Raw genomic sequence first — 18,444 nt, 5'->3', positions numbered from 1 at the left:
TCAATTTCAATATCAATTCATAAAATATGTCCTCAAAAACAATTAAGAGCATTTAGGCAAGAAAGAAATTAGCACCATTAAATTACTTTATATAAAAGAAACCTGCGTGTGGGCATAACTCAGCAGCAGAAATTTCACTGAAGCCCAGGTGTCTAAACTAATTCAGTATTTTTTCACTCTGTACCCCAGCACATGTATGCCATGTGCCTTCTTATATACAAAGCTCTAAAATGGAGAGAAAATAAAAATATCTCAAACTAAAAAAGAAAACAACTAAACTATGGAAACTCTGACAGAAGCTGTGCTCAATATTGTTACAATCTCCTTACTGCCCAATGATGCCATTTCTTATTCATATTCTAACGCCAGTTCTCATTTTCTTAACAGGAAGGATTCAAAGCTTTTAGATAAAGGTACAGTATAAGTTTTTATTATAAAACTATAAAATTAAACTATCTCTAATTTTATAATTTCTCTAAAAGAGTTTCAAACAAAAACAAATGGAGGTGCCTATTAGTGTCAAAGGTAGCTTTATCCTGCTTCAAAATCTCATAATCAGAATCATATTCAAGAGACAGAATTAGCTAAAGCTTAACTTATCACCTCTTGGGAGTCATTCATTCAAAAAGCAATCAAATGGCTACTACATGCCAGATAATGTGTGGACACTGGACCATGCAAAGTTTAACAAAATTTGGCCCTTGATCTAATGAAATGTAAAGATAAATAGGAAACATAAAAAAGAGAGAACTTTGCAATAAAATACATTAAGTATAGTAATATACACATATGTTGCTATTGTGAAAGGATATGTAAGAGGCACCCAATTCAGCCTGGAAAGAGATGGGTTTTAGTGATGGAAATTATCCCTGGGTTGAGTTCTAAATAACAAGTAAGACAGGAGGCATTGCCAGTAGATGGACAAGCTGGTGTGAGATGAGGGTTTGAGGGGCCATGTGGCAGAAGGAGATAAGACAGCTCTTCTTGCAGAGCTTTCTGTGTCACACTGAAGAGCTCATATTTTATCCTGTAAGCAGCCAGAGCCACTGAGAGGTTTTAACCAAGGAAGCTACATATTTTTTTCTTCTTAAGCTATGTTGTAGGCTCCTACAAAGCCATATATTTCTTTATTGTGAAAGATAATAATATAGAAGAGAGATGAAAGGGGAACAGGATAGGAGACAGGAGATGGTCTATGACAAGGGCTGGAAAACTATTTCCATAAAGAGCCAAATAGTGAACATTAAAGCAGTAGCTGTTGGTGGCCATCTGTTCTCTGTCAGAACTATGCAATTCTGCCATGGTAGAGTTAAAGCAATCATGGCAGAAAAGTGAACATGGCTGTGCTCCAGTATAACTTTGTTTACAAAAACAGGCAGCGGGTCTGGCCCATGAGCCATGCATGGTTTGCCAACCTGGCCTAGAGCCCCACTGACCAAAAGAACTTTCCACAATAATAAAAATGTTCTACTAAAGGTATGTTGCTCACACATAGCTGTAGGTTCCGTGTATGGCCACATGGAGCCATAAAGCACTAGAAATGCCAAAAGTTAGACTAAGGAATTGAATTTTTAATTTTATTTCCTTTAAATGATTTAAATGTAAATATTCATATGTGGCTTGTGGTTACCCTACCAAACAGTACAGAGTTAGAAACTGGTAAGGTAGCCAGCAAGAGATGGTGAACTAGGGCACTGAAGGTAGAGACAGAGAAGAGGTGGTAAAGGTGAGAAATATTAGGAGGTGATATGGTAGAACCTAATGCTGGATCAAATAAAGTGAGGGAGAAATAGTCAAAAACACTTCACCCATGTTGAGCAGCAGTAACCAAGTGGACAGCTGGGCCATGCACTGAGTATAGAGGGAAATATGTTGTGTTACTTTACACATGTTGATTCAACGTGCCACCTAAGAGAACAAAACACTTGACTATAATACAAAGAAATAGGTAATATTAAATATGTTCTTTTCATAGATAAAATGACTATAATACAGGAATATTAAGTAACTTGTCCAAGGTCATTGCAACTTGAGTTTATCCGATTCCAAAACTAAGGCATAGTCCCTTACACCAATATGAGTAAATAGTTAAGAGCTGACACCTTGGGAGGAAAGAAGTCACCCAGAGAGAAGCAGGGAGAATATTAGTGAGACTGTCTCAAAAAAAAAAAAAAAAAAAAAAAGGGCTGGGCATGGTGGCTCACGCCTGTAATCCCAGCATTTTGGGAGGCCGAGGTGGGTGGATCACCTGAGGTCAGGAGTTCGAGACCAGCCTGGCCAACGTGGCCAAACCCCGTCTCTATTAAAAATACAAAAATTAGCCAGGTGAGATGGCAGCGAATGCCTGTAATCCCAGCTACTCAGGAGGCTGAGGCAGGAGAACCGTTTGAACCTGGGAGGTTGGGGTTGCAGTGAGCCAAGATCACACTACCGTACTTCAGCCAGGGTGACAGAGTAAGACTCCATCTCAAAAACAAATAAATAATAAAAATTAAAAAGAGGCCGGGTGCAGTGGCTCACACCTGTAATCCTAGCACTTTGGGAGGCCGAGGTGGGCAGATTGCCTGAGCTCAGGAGTTCAAGACCAGCCTGGGCAACACTGTGAAACTCCATCTCTACTAAAATACAAAAAGCCGGGTGTGGCAGCATGCGCCTGAAGTCCCAGCTACTCGGGAAGCTGAGGCAGGAGAATTGCCTGAACCCGGGAGGTGTAGGTTGCAGTGAGCCAAGATCACGCCACTGCACTCTAGCCTGGACGATGGAGCGAGACTCTATCTCCAAAAAACAAAAAAAAACAAAAAAAAAAAAAAAGAAAAGAAAAAAAGACAGTTGATCCAGGCTAATCACCTGGTAAACACACTAATGCCAAACCTCTTGATAAAGAGACTAATAAAATTTGTAGCAAGAGAGGCTTCATCTATGGGATGCTTTTAGAAGAACATACTTAGTCTAGGATTGCTTATGGTAAGTGACCCAGGAATTAATGGATTTATGAGATCTGACCCCCTTGAGAATGTCATATAAGCTATGTAACTCAAGATTAACTGGAGGTGTTTTATCACCAAGAGAGCTCCTTCTATGTAAATAATATGAACTGCATACATCACTTAGAGACCTCACAGGTTCCCAGGTGGTCTAGCGGTTAAACAAAAATTTTAATAAAAAATAAAATTATTTTTAAAAAGAGACCTCACAAGTAATCTTGTTCCAGAGTATACCCTAGGCACACAGAACTAGGGAGCCCTGTCAATTGTCCTGAACATCTTCCTGCTTTGCTTGTGCCTCCAATGGCCAGTATCTTTGAAATTATTCATGAGGCTTCATTCAGGGTAAGTGCTCTAACTTATGTGTCTCTGATGTGGAATACTCCCAACTTACTGTGTTACCCCTGTACTAAATAACAAGACATATAATCATAGAAGCCTTCCCCGGGTTTTAGATTTTGACTAAGACTTAAAGGATAAGTAAATTTTTCAAAGATGGGGAGAAAACAGAGGATATGAATAAAGGAAGAAATATGAGAAAAACCCAAAGGAACATAAGACAGTAAGGATAGAAAACTGATTCTAATGAATAATTTTAAAAAAGAGGCTGAAGGCATATGGAGCACATCACAGAGAACTTCAGAAGTCAGAGAGAGAAGTGTAAACAGGATGCAGCTTTTAGTGAAAAAATAAGGTAGTGAAAGTGGAATGTAAGAAAGATGATTCTGGTAACACTGTGAGGAAAGGACTGAGAGAAGGTGTATCTGGAATTAGGAAGTCAGTTAGAAGCTACTGTAGAAATTAAACCCTTGCATGTACAGCCAAATGACTTGACAAGGGTACCAAGACTACACAATGGGGAAAAGATAGTCTCTTGAACAAATGTGCTGGAAAAACTACATATCCACATTCTAAGAATGAAGTTGGACCCCTATACCATATATAAAAATTAATTCAAAATGAATTAAAGACCTACACATAAGCCCAAACTATAAAACTCCTAGAAAGAAATATAGGGGGAAGGCTTCAGGATATTAGACTTGGCAATGATTTTTTGGATATGATACCAAAAGCACAGGCAACAAAAACGAAAACTGACAAATGGGACTTCATCAACTTTAAAATCTTCTGCACATCAAAGGAAACAATCAGCAGAGTGAAAAAGCAACCTATGGAATAGATGAAAATATTTCCAAATCATGTATTTGATAAAGTATCAATATTCAGTACCACTACAACAAAATAAATAACCCAATTTAAAAATGGGCAAAGGGCTTGGCTCAGTGGCTCATGCCTGTAATCCCAGTACTTTGGGAGGCCGAGGTGGGAGGATTACTTGAGGTCAAGAGTTCGAGACCAGCCTGGCCAACATGGCAAAACCCCATTTCTACGAAAAATACAAAATTAGCTGGGCATGGTGGTGTATGCCTGTAATTCTAGCTACTCAAGAGACTGAGGCACAAGAATCACTGGAACCCAGGAGGTAGAGGTTGCAGTGAGCCAAGATCACGCCACTGTACTCCAGACTGGGCGACGGAGCAAAACTGCATCAAAAAAAAAAAAAGGAAAAAATTGGCAAAGAACTTGAACAGGCAATTCTTTAAAGATATACAAATGGCCAAGAAATGCATGAAAAGATGCTCCACACCATGAATCAAAGTAAAATGTAGATCAAAACCGCATGACCAGCCAGGCACGGTGGCTCAAACCTGTAATCCCAGAATTTTGGGAGGCCAAAGTGGGAGGATCGCTTGAGCCCAGGAGTTGGAGACCAGCCTGGGCAACATGGTGAAACTCCTTCTCTACAAAAAATACAAAAATTAGCCAGGTGTGGTGGCACATGCCTATAGCCCCAGCTACTTAGAAAGCTGAGGTGGGAGGATCCTTTGAGCCTGAGAGGTCAAGGCTGCAGTGAGCCAAGATCATGCCACTGCACTCCAGCCTGGGAACCAGAGTGAGACCCTGTATCCAAAAAAAAAAAGAAAAGAAAAGAAAAAGAAAAAGAAAAACACATGACATACCACCTCCACCCATTAGAATGGCTACTATCAGAAGAACAGAAAACAGCAAGTGTTGATGAGGATGTGAAGAAATCAGAACCCTTGTGCACTGTTAGTGGGAATGTAAAAAGATGTATGCATTATGGAAAACTGTCTGAAGGTTCATCAAAAAATTAAAAGGACCATCATATGATCCAGCAATCCCACTTCTAGAAATATATCCAAAAGAATTTGAAACAGGGTCTCAAAAATATATTTGTATGCCCATGTCCATTTCAGCATTATTCACAATAGCCAGGGGTGCAAGTAATCTCAATGTCCATGGACGGATGAATGCATAAGGAAAATGTGTTACACATACAACAGGAATATTATGCAGCCTTTAAAAAGAAGAAAATCCTGTCATATGCTACAACATGATGCATTTCAAGGACATTATAGTAAGCAAAATAAGCCAGGCACAAAAGGATAAACACTGTATCATTCCATTCATATGAATTATTTAGTCAAAATCATAGAAACAGAAAGTAGAAAGGTGGTTGTCTAGGACTTGCAGGAGAGCGAAATTAGTGTTTAATGGGCGTAGAGTTTCAATTTTGCAAAATGAAAAAGTTCTAACGGTCTGTTGCACAATAATGTGAATATACTTAACACAACTGAACTGTATTCTTAAAAATGGTTGAGATGGGCCAGGCGCAGTGGCTCATGCCTGTAACCCCAGCACTTCAGGAGGCCAAAGCGGGTGGATCAATTGAGGTCAGGAGTTTGAGACCAGCCTGGCCAACATGGCGAAATCTCGTTTCTACTAAAAATACAAAAATTAGCCAGGCATGGTGGTGGGCACCTGTAATCCCTGCTACTTGGGAGGCTGAGGCAGGAGAATCACCTGAACCTAGGAGGTGGAGGTTGCAGTGAGCAGAGATGGCGCCATTGCACTCTAGCCTGGGCAACAAAGCGAGACTCCATCTCAAAAATAATAATAATTCACTAGTGATGACTATCAATATTACAAATTGTTAGTTTAGTTATTTACATTGTATGTATTTAAAATAAAAGTAGTCTTTTAAAAAAAATAAATTTTTTACAGACAGGGTTTCTCTGTTTTGCCCAGGCTGGATCTCAGCTCACTGGACACACTGCTTAAACTCTTGGACTCATGCAATCCTTCCGCCTTAGCCTCCCAAACAGCTAGAACTACAGGCAAGCACCATCGTGCCCAGCTAATTTTCTTTTTTCTTTTTTTTTTTTTTTTTTTGTAGGGATGGGATCTCACAATGTTACCCAGGCTGGTCTCAAACTCCTGGCCTCAAGCAATCCTCCTGCCTCAACCTCCCAAAGTGCTGGGATTTATAGACGTGAGCCCCTGAGCCCAGCTAAAAGTAGCCTTTTAAATTTAAAAAATAAAAAGATTATGTATTTCAATGAGGCACTAAGATAATGTCAATATAAGAATTTGGGGACAGGAGGAAGTTAGTGTCAGGAATATGAGCTAGACTCAAAATGAGCCACAGTGATATTTGTCCTTTTCCATAAAGAGCCCCACTCAAATCTAAGATTCAGTGAATACCATTCATCTTGCAGTGTACAACGTGGAGGGTGAAAGAATGAGCTGGAAGCAGGCATCATAAAGCACCATCGTACTGCAAAGAGCAGGATTTAAAAGCTAGCACCACCACTTGCTAGCTAGGGAAACTTGGGTAAGTTACTCTAACCTTTCCAAAACTCACTTTCCTCATTTGTATGATGGTGATAACAATTCATATCACAGATCCGTATCTTTTATATAGTAACTTGAGGATCACGGGAAAAGGATTTGCCCAAACTAAAAATAAACAGCATGACTTTAAAATAATCAATGATATCAGTAACATACCGCTGATTCACAAACGGGCTGGAAAGCTCTGCAAGCAGGCGAAAATTCCCAATGTATGCCAGCACTCCATTTTTCTGAATGATAAACATAAAACACAACGTCAAGGATAACATTCTTAACAAAATTCCCAAATACCGTAGAAATATCCAATAGCTTCTCAGCATAATATAACAATCAATACCAAAACAGATCAAGAAGTTTTCTACCTTTTACTGTTAAACTGATTTTCTTCGTGAGAATATAGAAAGATCCTTGGAATTCTACAGTATTTTTAAAAAACAGTAAATTATACACTTATGTTCACTTATGTATACAGTGTCCACTTAATGAAAATAGGCTTCAAGCAGTTGTGTCACGTTAAACAAATGAACTCTAAATAACCATTAGTAATGGCATTTTCAAATTACTGTAGAAAAGAATGATCACGTGGCACGCGCCTGTAGTCCCAGCTACTCGGGAGGCTGAGGCAGGAGAATGGCGTGAACCCGGGAGGCGGAGCTTGCAGTGAGCCGAGGTCGCACCACTGCACTCCAGCCTGGGCGACAGAGCGAGACTCCGTCTCAAAAAAAAAAAAAGAATGATCACAAAGTACTGTGAATTTCAGAAGATGAGGAGTTTTATAACAATTTAACACCTGATAGTAACTCACTTTATATCCATTACTAACTGGAAGCACCTTAAAAATCTCAAAAAAGCACTTATCCTCAATAACAATACATAAGCCTGTGAGTACAGGTATATTTGCCCAGTATGACAACACATGCCACCATGTTTGTTCTGAAAAATATATTTGTGAATCAGAAGATCCTGGAGCTAAATTTAGGATCTTTGAGACCTTTCTAAATTTAAACATAATACCTAGTACATTCTACCAATTAAATAATATGAAAAGTTTAGTAGAGTTAGTAAACATTGGAAGGAAAACCAAAAGTATACATTCTAAAAATTTTACTTAATATACTTTAAAAATTGCTACTAAGTAAATGGAGTCACTCCAGCACTTCCAATTAAATCAGAATTATGATTACATGCCAAAGAAAACAGTCCTCCCTACCCCAATACATTAGATGTAAACAAAAGTTTGGAAACTATTTTTCTACTGGCTATACCATGCTGCCTTCCAAATGAGAACAATATGAAGCATTAAAAAAATAATAGGTGGACTTTTTATTTGATGATTTTTAGTATTTATTCGTGAAAATTATTTTAGGGATTCAAAATTCTAAGCTAGATTATAAGAACTACCTTTAACAAGGTTAATCTAAAACTTTTTATAATCACAAATTCATTATCCTTAGCAATACTGGAATTTGTGATGAGGAAGAAGGAAGGAGGGATGGCCAAAGACACAGCAACAGCAGGCAAGAGGAGCATTGAATGCACAGGGGGTGACCAACTTTTCAGAGAGTCAACTAGGGCACAGCCATACCAGTCCAGAGACATAACAATGGAGGAGAAAGAATTATGCACAGGTTTTATTACTTTAACACACAAATATGAAGAATAGGTATTTATTTGAAATTATTATTCTATACTAGTTTTCTGTTATACTAAATGCTTTTATTTAAACAAGATGGAAGAAGTGCAGATTAATTTAGATGTGCTTGCCTGTCTTATCCCAGACTTGAGAGACACAGTCTCCTTAGGTGCTTACACATCTCCTTCACCAAGCCTGTATTAGTTTGTTAGCGCTGTCATAACAAAGTACCAAAAAGTGGGTGGTTTAAGCAACAGAAATGTATTGTCTCACAGTTACGGAAGCTAGAAGTCCAAGATCAAGGGTTTAACAGGGTCATGAGCTCTCTGCAGGCAACTAGGGAAGAATCTGTTCTAGGACTCTCTGCCAGCTTCCTGCAGTTCCTTGGCTTGTGGCAGCCTAACTCCAGTCTCCACGTGGCATTATCCCTGTGTGCATGTCTGTCCAAATTTCCCCTTTTCACAAGGAGACCAGTCATAGTGGATTAGGGGCCCACCATATTTTAATACAAACTCATCTTAACTAACTACATCTACAATGACCCTATTTCCAACTGAGGTTACATTCTAAGGTACTGGGAGTTATGACTTCAACCTATGAATTTTGGAGGGGACACAATTCAAACTGTAACAATGCCCAATCCCAAATTCTTTCCTGCCTATTGTGCAATATGTTCTGTTTTATCTCCCTAATTAAATTTTATGTGTCTTTCCCTCTGTCTATAACATATCATTATATACTAATATATATAAAATAACATAGATTTCCATATACAATAATAACTTTCCTTCTCAGTGATGTCTGGGACACTCTGGTGTTGATATCATAACTGTTCTCATTTTCATTATCTGAACTCTCAGAAAATACAGTCACAGTATTCACAGTGTGGTAGGTTAAACTAACACTATGTCAATACAAATCAAAACAGTTAATCCAACGGGCAATGTCAATGATAGACTGTTACTGCTCACAATTACAACACACTTAAGTTGCATCAGTGGATGATCCATTATTGTGAACTGCAAATCATAGCTGCCGTGATTTTTTTTGGTATCAGAGGAAGGGGTTTCCCGGGCTGCAGGATTTTCAGTGGTAAAATGGTACGACTAGGATAGCTCTGAACAGGCCACTCTCATCTTTGTTTTATTATAAATGCATTTAGGCTGGGCATGGTGGCTCACAAAAGTAATCCCAGCACACTGGGAGGCCAAGGCAAGAGGATCACTTGAGCCTAGAGGTTCGAGACCAGCTTGGGCAAACATAGCAAAACCCCATCTCTATACAAAAATTTAAAATAACAAATAAATAATTCATTTTAATACATATTCGAAATCACATTTGCGGCTAAAAAAAAGGGGGGGGATGAGAAAAGCACAAATGTCTGAGCCCTCTAATTTATTCAGCATAAAGAACCACTTTAAAGATAATAAGGAACAAATTGCCATTTGCATTTCAAACTCCTTAGGTATTTTGTGTGCTTTTTTTAATGAAAAAATTTGGTGGCTTGTTCAAAGTTTAGGTGAGTTTTCTCAAAAGACTTGCTTGGAATATTTAAGAAGAAGTTAAAATAACAAGTAAAGTAAAATAAGAGAAATGTTCTGTTTTTTTGCTATCTCTATAGTTAAATTCTGTAGCAAATTAGGGAAAAGGACAACTTTGGAAACAGTATACAACTAAAATATGACTCTTGAGGGGACAAAAAAATGAAAGGAAAAAGTTATTTTAATGAGATTCCTACTTGAGCCAGACACCAGACATAAACATCTTAGAAAGATTTGCATTATGGCTGGGCGCAGTGGCTCACACCTGTAATCCCAATACTTTGGGAGGCCAAAGTGGACGGATCACAAGGTCAGGAGATCGAGACCATCCTGGCTAATACAGTGAAACCCTGTCTCTACTAAAAATACAAAAAATTAGCCAGGCGTGGTGGCGGGTGCCTATAGTCCCAGCTACTCGGGAGACTGAGGCAGGAGAATGGCGTGAACCTGGGAGGCGGAGCTTGCAGTGAGCCGAAATCACGCCACTGCACTCCAGCCTGGGGGACAGAGCGAGACTCTTCTCAAAAAAAAAAAAAAAAAAGAATGATTTGTATTATTATAACCCCTCACTAAGACAGATTCATGTATGTAATAAACATGAAGCATTAAAAAAATTATAGGTGAACTTTTTATTCCTTAAGGATAATTTCTCTCATTCATAACACTGACTTTCTCCTGTCAAAGGTGATTTTTCTTCTGATCTATTTTTCCTAACAATTCTCTTTAGTTGTTCTAAGTCTATGGCATTCTATGTAACTACATTCAATGTTTAGAGAAGATGACAGACCAGACTGCTGCAAAATGTTACGAGTTAATGTGTTCCTAAGGTCAGCCAAAATTCTTGCTAAATTTCTTACTGTATCCTTCAAATAAATAGTTTTTCCAAAGATAAGATCAAATACCAAAATTTATTTTTATACAACTTATAAAGTATTTTAAAGCAGACTCCTCAAAGTCATGTAAAATATCAAAATACTATAGCAGCAACAGCCTAAGCCTTAATTAAATTTTAAAAACCATTTTAGGCTGGGCGCAATGGTGCACACCTGTAGTCTGACTCAGCTACTCAGAAGGCTAAGGCAGGAAGATCATGTGAACCCAGAAGTTTGAGGGTGTGGCTGTGAGCTGTGATCACACTACTGCATACCAGCCTAGGTGACACAGCAAAACCGTTTCTTTAAAAAAATTCTAAAAATTTCTCTCTAGTTAATATTAACTTTAAAAATAAAAAAAAAATCATGAAGTATACTATATTTAAGACCTTTTTTGAGAATTTAAAAGATTACTTTTTCCAACTCCTTTCATACTGGTAAAGAATTAAAAGTATTAACCAAAGTACCAAATTAATATCAGATAAAACCTGACTTCATGATTTTCATTAAGTATTAAAAGAGTCAGTGTAAAAATGGTAAATTTGATGTTATGTTCATCTAAACAACTTTGGCCAAAATGCAAATTTTCCATGCTTTGAGGAAATTGTCTCTTGAATTTGAAAAAAGTTGGGCATAACATCTTGGCTCTTCTAATTCCTCTCTCCTCTTCCCAAAGAGAATGGTTAGTTCTAGTACTTCTAGCCCAATGGTTCTCGTGTAGTTCCCAGATAAGCAGCATCAGCATGACCTGGGAACTTGCTAGATATGCATATTCCAGGGCCCCATCCAAGACATACTGAATGGGAAACCATGAGGGGTGGGAACAGCAGCTGTGTTTTGCAGGCCCTCCAGGTGAGTCCAAGGTACGTTAAAGTGAGAGAAGTGCTTTCCTAGTCTAGAAATAGCCAGCGATCTATAAGCCCCAAGGAGCTAGCTCCCTACTTCTCAGAAACTGCGCTGAGCAAAGGTTTACAAACACCCACCCCAGACTGCACAGCTCTTAAGGTGGACCTGCTACATTCCTCTAGAAAAGTTTTTCCTGACCCCTTAACTCTTAGCTGGGAGAACCCCCAGTCAATTGGCTCCGCAGATCTCTCTGCTTATCTGTGAGAGTACTTAGCTCCTTGCAAATATCTACATTTCCTGTTCCTTATTCACTGTTATATCCATAAAGCCTTACACAGTGCCTGGCCCATGTTTCCTGAGTTGAACCTTGCCTTCTCAGTGCTGTTAAACAAGCACATCACCTCTAAAGTCAAAATCCCAAGAGTCCTTCAGGCCTATTTCTGAGTGGGAGAGAGGATTATCAGAATATTAGCCTTTGGCTGGAGGTGGTGGTTCATGCCTATAATGCCAGCAGAGGCAGGAGGATCATTTGAGCCCAGCCAAGGCAACATTAGTGAGACCCCGTCTCTTAAAAAAAAAAAAAAAAAAAAAAAAAAAAAGCTCACTCACATTTCATTCCAAAAGAAAAGGAGAAAGCCATCCAGATTTTAATCTCATAAAGATATCAGTGGAACAGAATTAGAAGTTATCAAATTTGTTATGAGAAAATAAAAATGTCTGAATCTCCAAACACTGATACATTTAGAGTTAGTGAAGCAAGGCTGGTAAAAGTGGGTAAGCAAGTAGAAGAGGCAGGGGAATGTGGGACCATTGTAACAGAAGTAAAACATCTAGAAGCAGACAGTGAGCACACTTGCAAACTAAGGAGCAATAGGATGTAGTCTAAAAGAAAGACAAACCAGGGTTATAGCTCTGACCTTACTAGCTGTGTAACCTTGTGCCTATTACTGAACTCCTCTGATCCTATTCCAAGAAATCTATAATGAATGGTTAATACTTTTAAACAGGGCTGTTGTTAGGACTATATGGCTGCCATTACTACCATCATTGTCCTCATCACTTTATAAAACATAAAACGAGAGAGTTAAAATTAACGATAGATGGAAGTGTCTAAGAATGCCATTTGATACTGTTGGGGTGATGGTCCCAACACCAGGTCGTGGGGGTGACGAAGTCTGGCGGAGTCAAAGGAATGAAAAAAGACAGTTTACGAGAGAAAGTGGGTCCAGGGGGCCAACACTAAGTATGGAGGCTGCAAAGACCCTGAGCTCTGGAAGCCCAGACTATTTATTGGTGATCAAACAAAGAAACAGGTGGTGAGAATGTGGGGGTCGAAAGGGAGCGTTACATTAAGCACATGATTTACAGCTGTGATGGTTTAGCATATGCTCTGCTACTTGAGATAATGGAGAGCAGGTTCTTTTAACTCAAGATACAATCGATCCTGGGAGAGCAAGGAGCAAGGAGCCAGCAAGTCTAGACACATTCCAGAGCCAGGAGCCTTGGATTCTATCCAAGCCACGAGCGGTTTTATGCCCTGGGCTTAGATTACCGTGCGTCAGGGTAGCCTTCCACCCTTTGGCACAGAGCTTGGTGTTCCAAAGGCCACAAGGGGTTTTAGACCCTGGACCCCGCACATGTTCCAAGACTCTCTTACATTATGTCAGACATGCAAGCCCTGCCTCAGCTTCTCTCCCAACACTCAGCATTTCCCAACAGATACCACCACTATATCCCAATGCTGACAGAATTTCCAGAAATATTTATTGGCAAACTTTTTAAAACTTCCTCTATTTGAGCAAATTATTATTATAATTAAGCAATTACATTTTGGGAGGCAGGGATAGTTAAAAGCAATTAAGTTTTGGGAGGCGGAGACAGTTAATGACAATACGCCTGTGGTATGGAGGGCAGGATTTGAATCCTAGCTCTGGTGGCAACTTGGGGCAAAGCTAATCTAAATTTCGGTTTCTCCTTTTGTAAAATGGGCACAATGCCATCTTTATAGCAAGACTGACATGAGAATAAAATGAGACGCATACTGAGGGCCATCAGGAAAAATACTGATGGCCATCAGTATGCGGCACTCAAAAGAGAAGGCACTCAAAAGAGGAAAAAGAACTAGGTACAGTGGCTCATGCATATAATCCCAACACTTTAGGAGGTTGAGGCAGGAGGATCGCTTGAGATCAGGAATTCTGGGCCAGCCTGGTCAACATAGTAAGACCCCACGTCTACAAAAAAAATTTTTTTTTTAATTAGCCAGGCATGGTGGCGTGTGCCTATAGTCCCAGCTACTCAGGAGGCTGAGGCAGGAGGATCACTTGAGCTCAGGAGTTAAGGCCATAGCAAGCTATGACTGCACCACTGTACTCCAGCGTGGGTGACAGAGTGAGACTTTGTCTCTAAAAAAACAACTGAACAAGGTAAATTTTCTTATTATAAAGACAAGGCCTAAAACGGCCTATTCCTTCCTGCCTAGGTGCAATCATTCACACCTAGTTACTGATGCAAGGGTGACCACACAGGTCTAAGGTTCAGGCCTGGATGATGGGGAGGAATGGATGATTAGACAGATCATTACAGTCAGGAAGGACTGGATGCACTACTAATGAACACTGCTATTTTACTATAAAAGATAACCTTACGTGAACAAATCACCCTCCAAAAGTAGTTGTTACTTTCTACTTGTTGCAGAAAAGCATCCAGGATGAAAAGGAAAATTAATACTTCTAAGGGTAAACTAAACTGTTTTATTGATCCTATGGTTTTTGTCAGCTTTTCATCTCACTTTGCACAACTATAATATATTTCATCCAACCTAAACTTAACTGTGTTCATGATGACTTTATGTTCATCATACCACAGTGTGGCATGGTTGAAATGGCCTCTGAAAATTACCTACTTTCTATTACCCATAGATTTTTAAATCCCACCCACAAAAGCTCTTCCAGTTTGCCCTCAGCTTAGGGTGGACTACCCCATAGTGAGAAGTGTAAGCAGCTCACTGCAACCTGGGACTGCTATTCAAAAGTTCCAAAACTATACTGCTCTCTCAGATTTCCACCTGCCTGTCCTACTTCTGATCCTCACAACCCAAAAAACTTAATTGAATCCAATCTCTTTTTCATATAAACCTTCTGATATTTACAGACAGTATATGTTTATTTTCTTTCCCAGTATCATTTCCACATTGCTCAGGTAAAGACTCTTCTAGCCAACCCTTTTCAGAGTTCCTGATCCCTGTTAACTGCAGTCTTCACAAAACAAAAATAAAACAAACAACAGAAACCAAGCAGCCTCTTGATGAAAAGAACCAGTTACACAATGGTTCTCTGAAGAGAATTTTGGCAGAATGAATCAATATCCTTAAAACATACATATACTAGGCCAGGCGCAGTGGCTCATGCCTGTAATCCCAGCACTCTGGGAGGCCGAGGCGGGTGGATCACCTGAGGTCAGGACTTTGAGACCAGCCTGCCAACATGTTGAAACCCCGTCTCTACTAAAAAATACAAAAATTAGCCGGGCATGGTGGCAGGTGCCGGTAATCCCAACTACTTGGGAGGCTGAGGCAGGGGAATCGCTTGAACCCGGGAAGTGGAGGTTGCAGTGAGCCAAGATCACGCCATTGCACTCCACCCTGGGGGACAAGAGCGAGACTTTGTCTGAAAAAAAAAAAAAAACACACACACACACACATACTATTTGCCCAAGAATTCCACTCAACAAAATTATTCTTTGAAAATAATTATTCATGTGCACAAATGAGAAGATATATGGATATTCACTCAAAGTTACCTATGACACTGAAACACATAACAATAGTCATTGGTTAAATGTTATTACATATCCATATGCCACCAGTAGAGATAATGATACCACCAGATAGTCTGAGAATAAAAACATCTTCAGAACTTTCAACAGACTCAGTTTACCTCCTTCGCTTTCTTAGGTATCATTTGAGGATATGCTGCAGCAAAATGAGTGAATAAACAAGAAAGTCAAAGACATGGGATTGAGGAAACAGTGACTTCAGCCCAAGATTGGAATGACAGGGAGCCCCAGGCCACTGGGCAGCAGCACAGACAGCAATCTGTTCAGACTGCAGCAGAACAGCAAACTCCTGGAGCAGGTATGTGGGAGCTGGGAAAAGACGGTTGCAGAGATGGAGTAGTATCCTTGAGGATATGAAGCTACTCAAATATGTAGTAAAGGCAAATGATGGGGGGAAAAAAGGAAGGCAATTAGAAACTCCAAAAAAATTACACAGAAAATGTAATCTGGGTCCTGCAATCAACTATTTTAATACAATCATAATAAATATTTTACTGATTTTCTATGTGTAGATCAACTGACTACAAAGAAAAACTATGATTACAGAATACAAAGTAGATATTTTTAATTCTCAGCAATACAAAAGTACAAGTGATAAAAACTGAGAAGCAAAGTAGGAGTTAGAGAAGTAGAAGAAAAAATTGGGGCACTAATATCTTCATTTTTAAAAGTATCAAGAGGTGGCGGGGGTTCCAAGATGGCCGAATAGGACCAGCTCCAGTCTACAGCTCCCAGTATGAGCGACACAGAAGACGGGTGACTTCTGCATTTCCAACTGAGGTACCGCATTCATCTCACTGGGGCTTGTCAGACACTGGGTGCAGCCCACAGAGTGTGAGCCGAAGCAGGGCGAGGCATCGCCTCACCTGGGAAGCACAAGGGGTCAGGAATTCCCTTTACTAGCCAAGGGAAGCTGTGGCAGATGGTACCTGGAAAATCGGGACACTCCCACCCTAATATTGCGCTTTTCCAACAGCCTTAACAAACAGCACACCAGGAGATTATATCCCGCGCCTGGCTCAGAGGGTCCCATGCCCACGGAGCCTCGCTCATTGCTAGCACAGCAGTCTGAGATCAAACTGCAAGGCGGCAGTGAGGCTGGGGGAGGGGCATCCGCCATTGCTAAGGCTTGAGTAGGTAAACAAAGCGGCCTGGAAGCTCGAACTGGGTGGAGCCCACCACAGCTCAAGGAGGCCTGCCTGCCTCTGTAGACTCCACCTCTGGGGGCAGGGCATAGCTGAACAAAAGGCAGCAGAAACTTCTGCAGAATTAAACATCCCTGTCTGACAGCTTTGAAGACAGTAGTGGTTCTCCCAGCACAGTTTGAGATCTGAGAACAGACAGACTACCTCCTCAAGTGGACCCCTGACCCCTGAGTAGCCTAACTGGTAGGCACCTCCCAGTAGGGGCCGACTGACACCTCATATGGCTGGGTGCCCCTCTGAGACAAAGCTTCCAGAGGAAGGATCAGGCAGCAACATTGGCCATTCTGCAATATTTGCTGTTCTGCAGCCTCCACTGGTGATACTCAGGCAAACAAGGTCTGGAGTGGACCTACAGCAAACTCCAACAGACCTGTAGCTGAAGGTCCTGTTAGAAGGAAAACTAACAAACAGAAAGGACATCCACACCAAAACCCCATCTGTATGTCACCATCATCAAAGACCAAAGGTAGATAAAACCATAAAGATGGGGAGAAACTAGAGCAGAAAAGCTGAAAATTCTAAAAATCAGAGCACCTATTCTCCTCCAAAGTAACGCAGCTCCTCGCCAGCAGCAGAACAAAGCTGGACAGAGAACAACTTTGACAAGTTGAGAGAAGAAGGCTTCAAACGATCAGTAATAACAAACTTCTCCGAGCTAAAGGAGGATGTTCGAACCCATCGCAAAAAAGCTAAAAACATGCAAAAAAGAGTAGACGAATGGCTAACTACAATAAACAGCATACAGAAGACCTCAGGTACCCAATGGAGCTGAAAACCATGGCACGAGAACTATATGACACATGCACAAGCTTCAGTAGCCGATTTGATCAAGTGGAAGAAAGGGTATCAGTGATTGTAGATCAAATGAATGAAATGAAGTGAGAAGAGTTTAGAGAAAAAAGAGTAAAAAGAAATGAACGAAGCCTCTGAGAAATATGAGACTATGTGAAGAGACCAAATCTACGTTTGACTGGTATACCTGAAAGTGATGGGGAGAATGGAACCAAGTTGGAAAACACTCTTCAGGGTATTATCCAGGAGAACTTCCCCAACCTAGCAAGGCAGGCCAACATTCAAATTCAGGAAATACAGAGAACACCACAAAGATACTCCTCGAGAAGAGCAACTCCAAGACACATAATTGTCAGATTCACCAAAGCTGAAATGAAGGAAAAAATGTTAAGGGCAGCCAGAGAGAAAGGTTGGGTTACCCACAAAGGGAAGCCCAACAGACTAACAGCGGATCTCTCGGCAGAAACTCTACAAGCCAGAACAGAGTGGGGGCCAATGTTCAACATTCTTAAAGTAAAGAACTTTCAATCCAGAATTTCATATCCAGCTAAACTAAGCTTCATAAGTGAAGGAGAAATAAAATCCTTTACAGACAAGCAAATGCTGAGACATTCTGTCACCACCACGCCTGCCTTACAAGAGCTCCTGAAGGAAGCACTAAACATGGAAAGGAACAACCAGTACTAACCACTGCAAAAACATGCCAAATTGTAAAGACCATCGATGCTATGAAGAAACTGTACTGATTAGCGGGCAAAATAACCAGCTAACATCATAATGGCAGGATCAAATTCACACATAACAATATTAACCTTAAATGCACATGTGCTAAATGAGCCAATTAAAAGACACAGACTGGCAAATTGGATAAAGAGTCAAGTCCCATCAGTGTGCTGTATTCAGGAAACCCATCTCACATGCAAAGACACACATACACTCAAAATAAAGAAATGGAGGAAGATCTACCGAGCAAATGGAAAGCAAAAAAAAGCAGGGGTTGCAATCCTAGTCTCTGAT

General features: G+C 40.2%; 2 protein-coding genes and 1 long non-coding RNA gene across 5 annotated transcripts in view; 1 reads left to right on the top strand and 2 right to left on the bottom strand.

The window, feature by feature from the left end:
- Positions 1-17,528, top strand: part of RWDD3-DT (RWDD3 divergent transcript) — a 70,764-nt gene extending 53,236 nt beyond the window's left edge. Inside the window, exons 4-5 of one of the 2 annotated variants that reach the window (NR_125948.1) lie at positions 388-413; positions 15,549-17,528. This is a non-coding gene — a long non-coding RNA (RWDD3 divergent transcript). The remainder of the gene's footprint in view (positions 1-387; positions 414-15,548) is intronic. The other variant, NR_125949.1, reaches the window with a different exon arrangement.
- TLCD4 (TLC domain containing 4) overlaps positions 1-18,444 on the bottom strand; it is a 105,091-nt gene that overhangs the window by 16,861 nt on the left and 69,786 nt on the right. For both annotated transcript variants that reach the window (NM_001199679.2, NM_152487.3), the window contains exon 6: positions 6,858-6,931. In NM_001199679.2, the coding sequence (NP_001186608.1) occupies positions 6,858-6,931 (74 nt within the window). The remainder of the gene's footprint in view (positions 1-6,857; positions 6,932-18,444) is intronic.
- Positions 1-18,444, bottom strand: part of TLCD4-RWDD3 (TLCD4-RWDD3 readthrough) — a 127,033-nt gene that overhangs the window by 64,209 nt on the left and 44,380 nt on the right. Inside the window, 1 exon segment of the mRNA NM_001199691.1 lies at positions 6,858-6,931. Coding sequence (NP_001186620.1) covers positions 6,858-6,931 — 74 coding nt within the window.

Source organism: Homo sapiens, chromosome 1 (genome assembly GCF_000001405.40).
Source record: "Homo sapiens chromosome 1, GRCh38.p14 Primary Assembly".
NCBI lineage: Eukaryota > Metazoa > Chordata > Mammalia > Primates > Hominidae > Homo > Homo sapiens.
The sequence above is the reverse complement of the archived record's forward strand: the minus strand, read 5'-3'. Positions and strand labels throughout refer to the sequence as shown.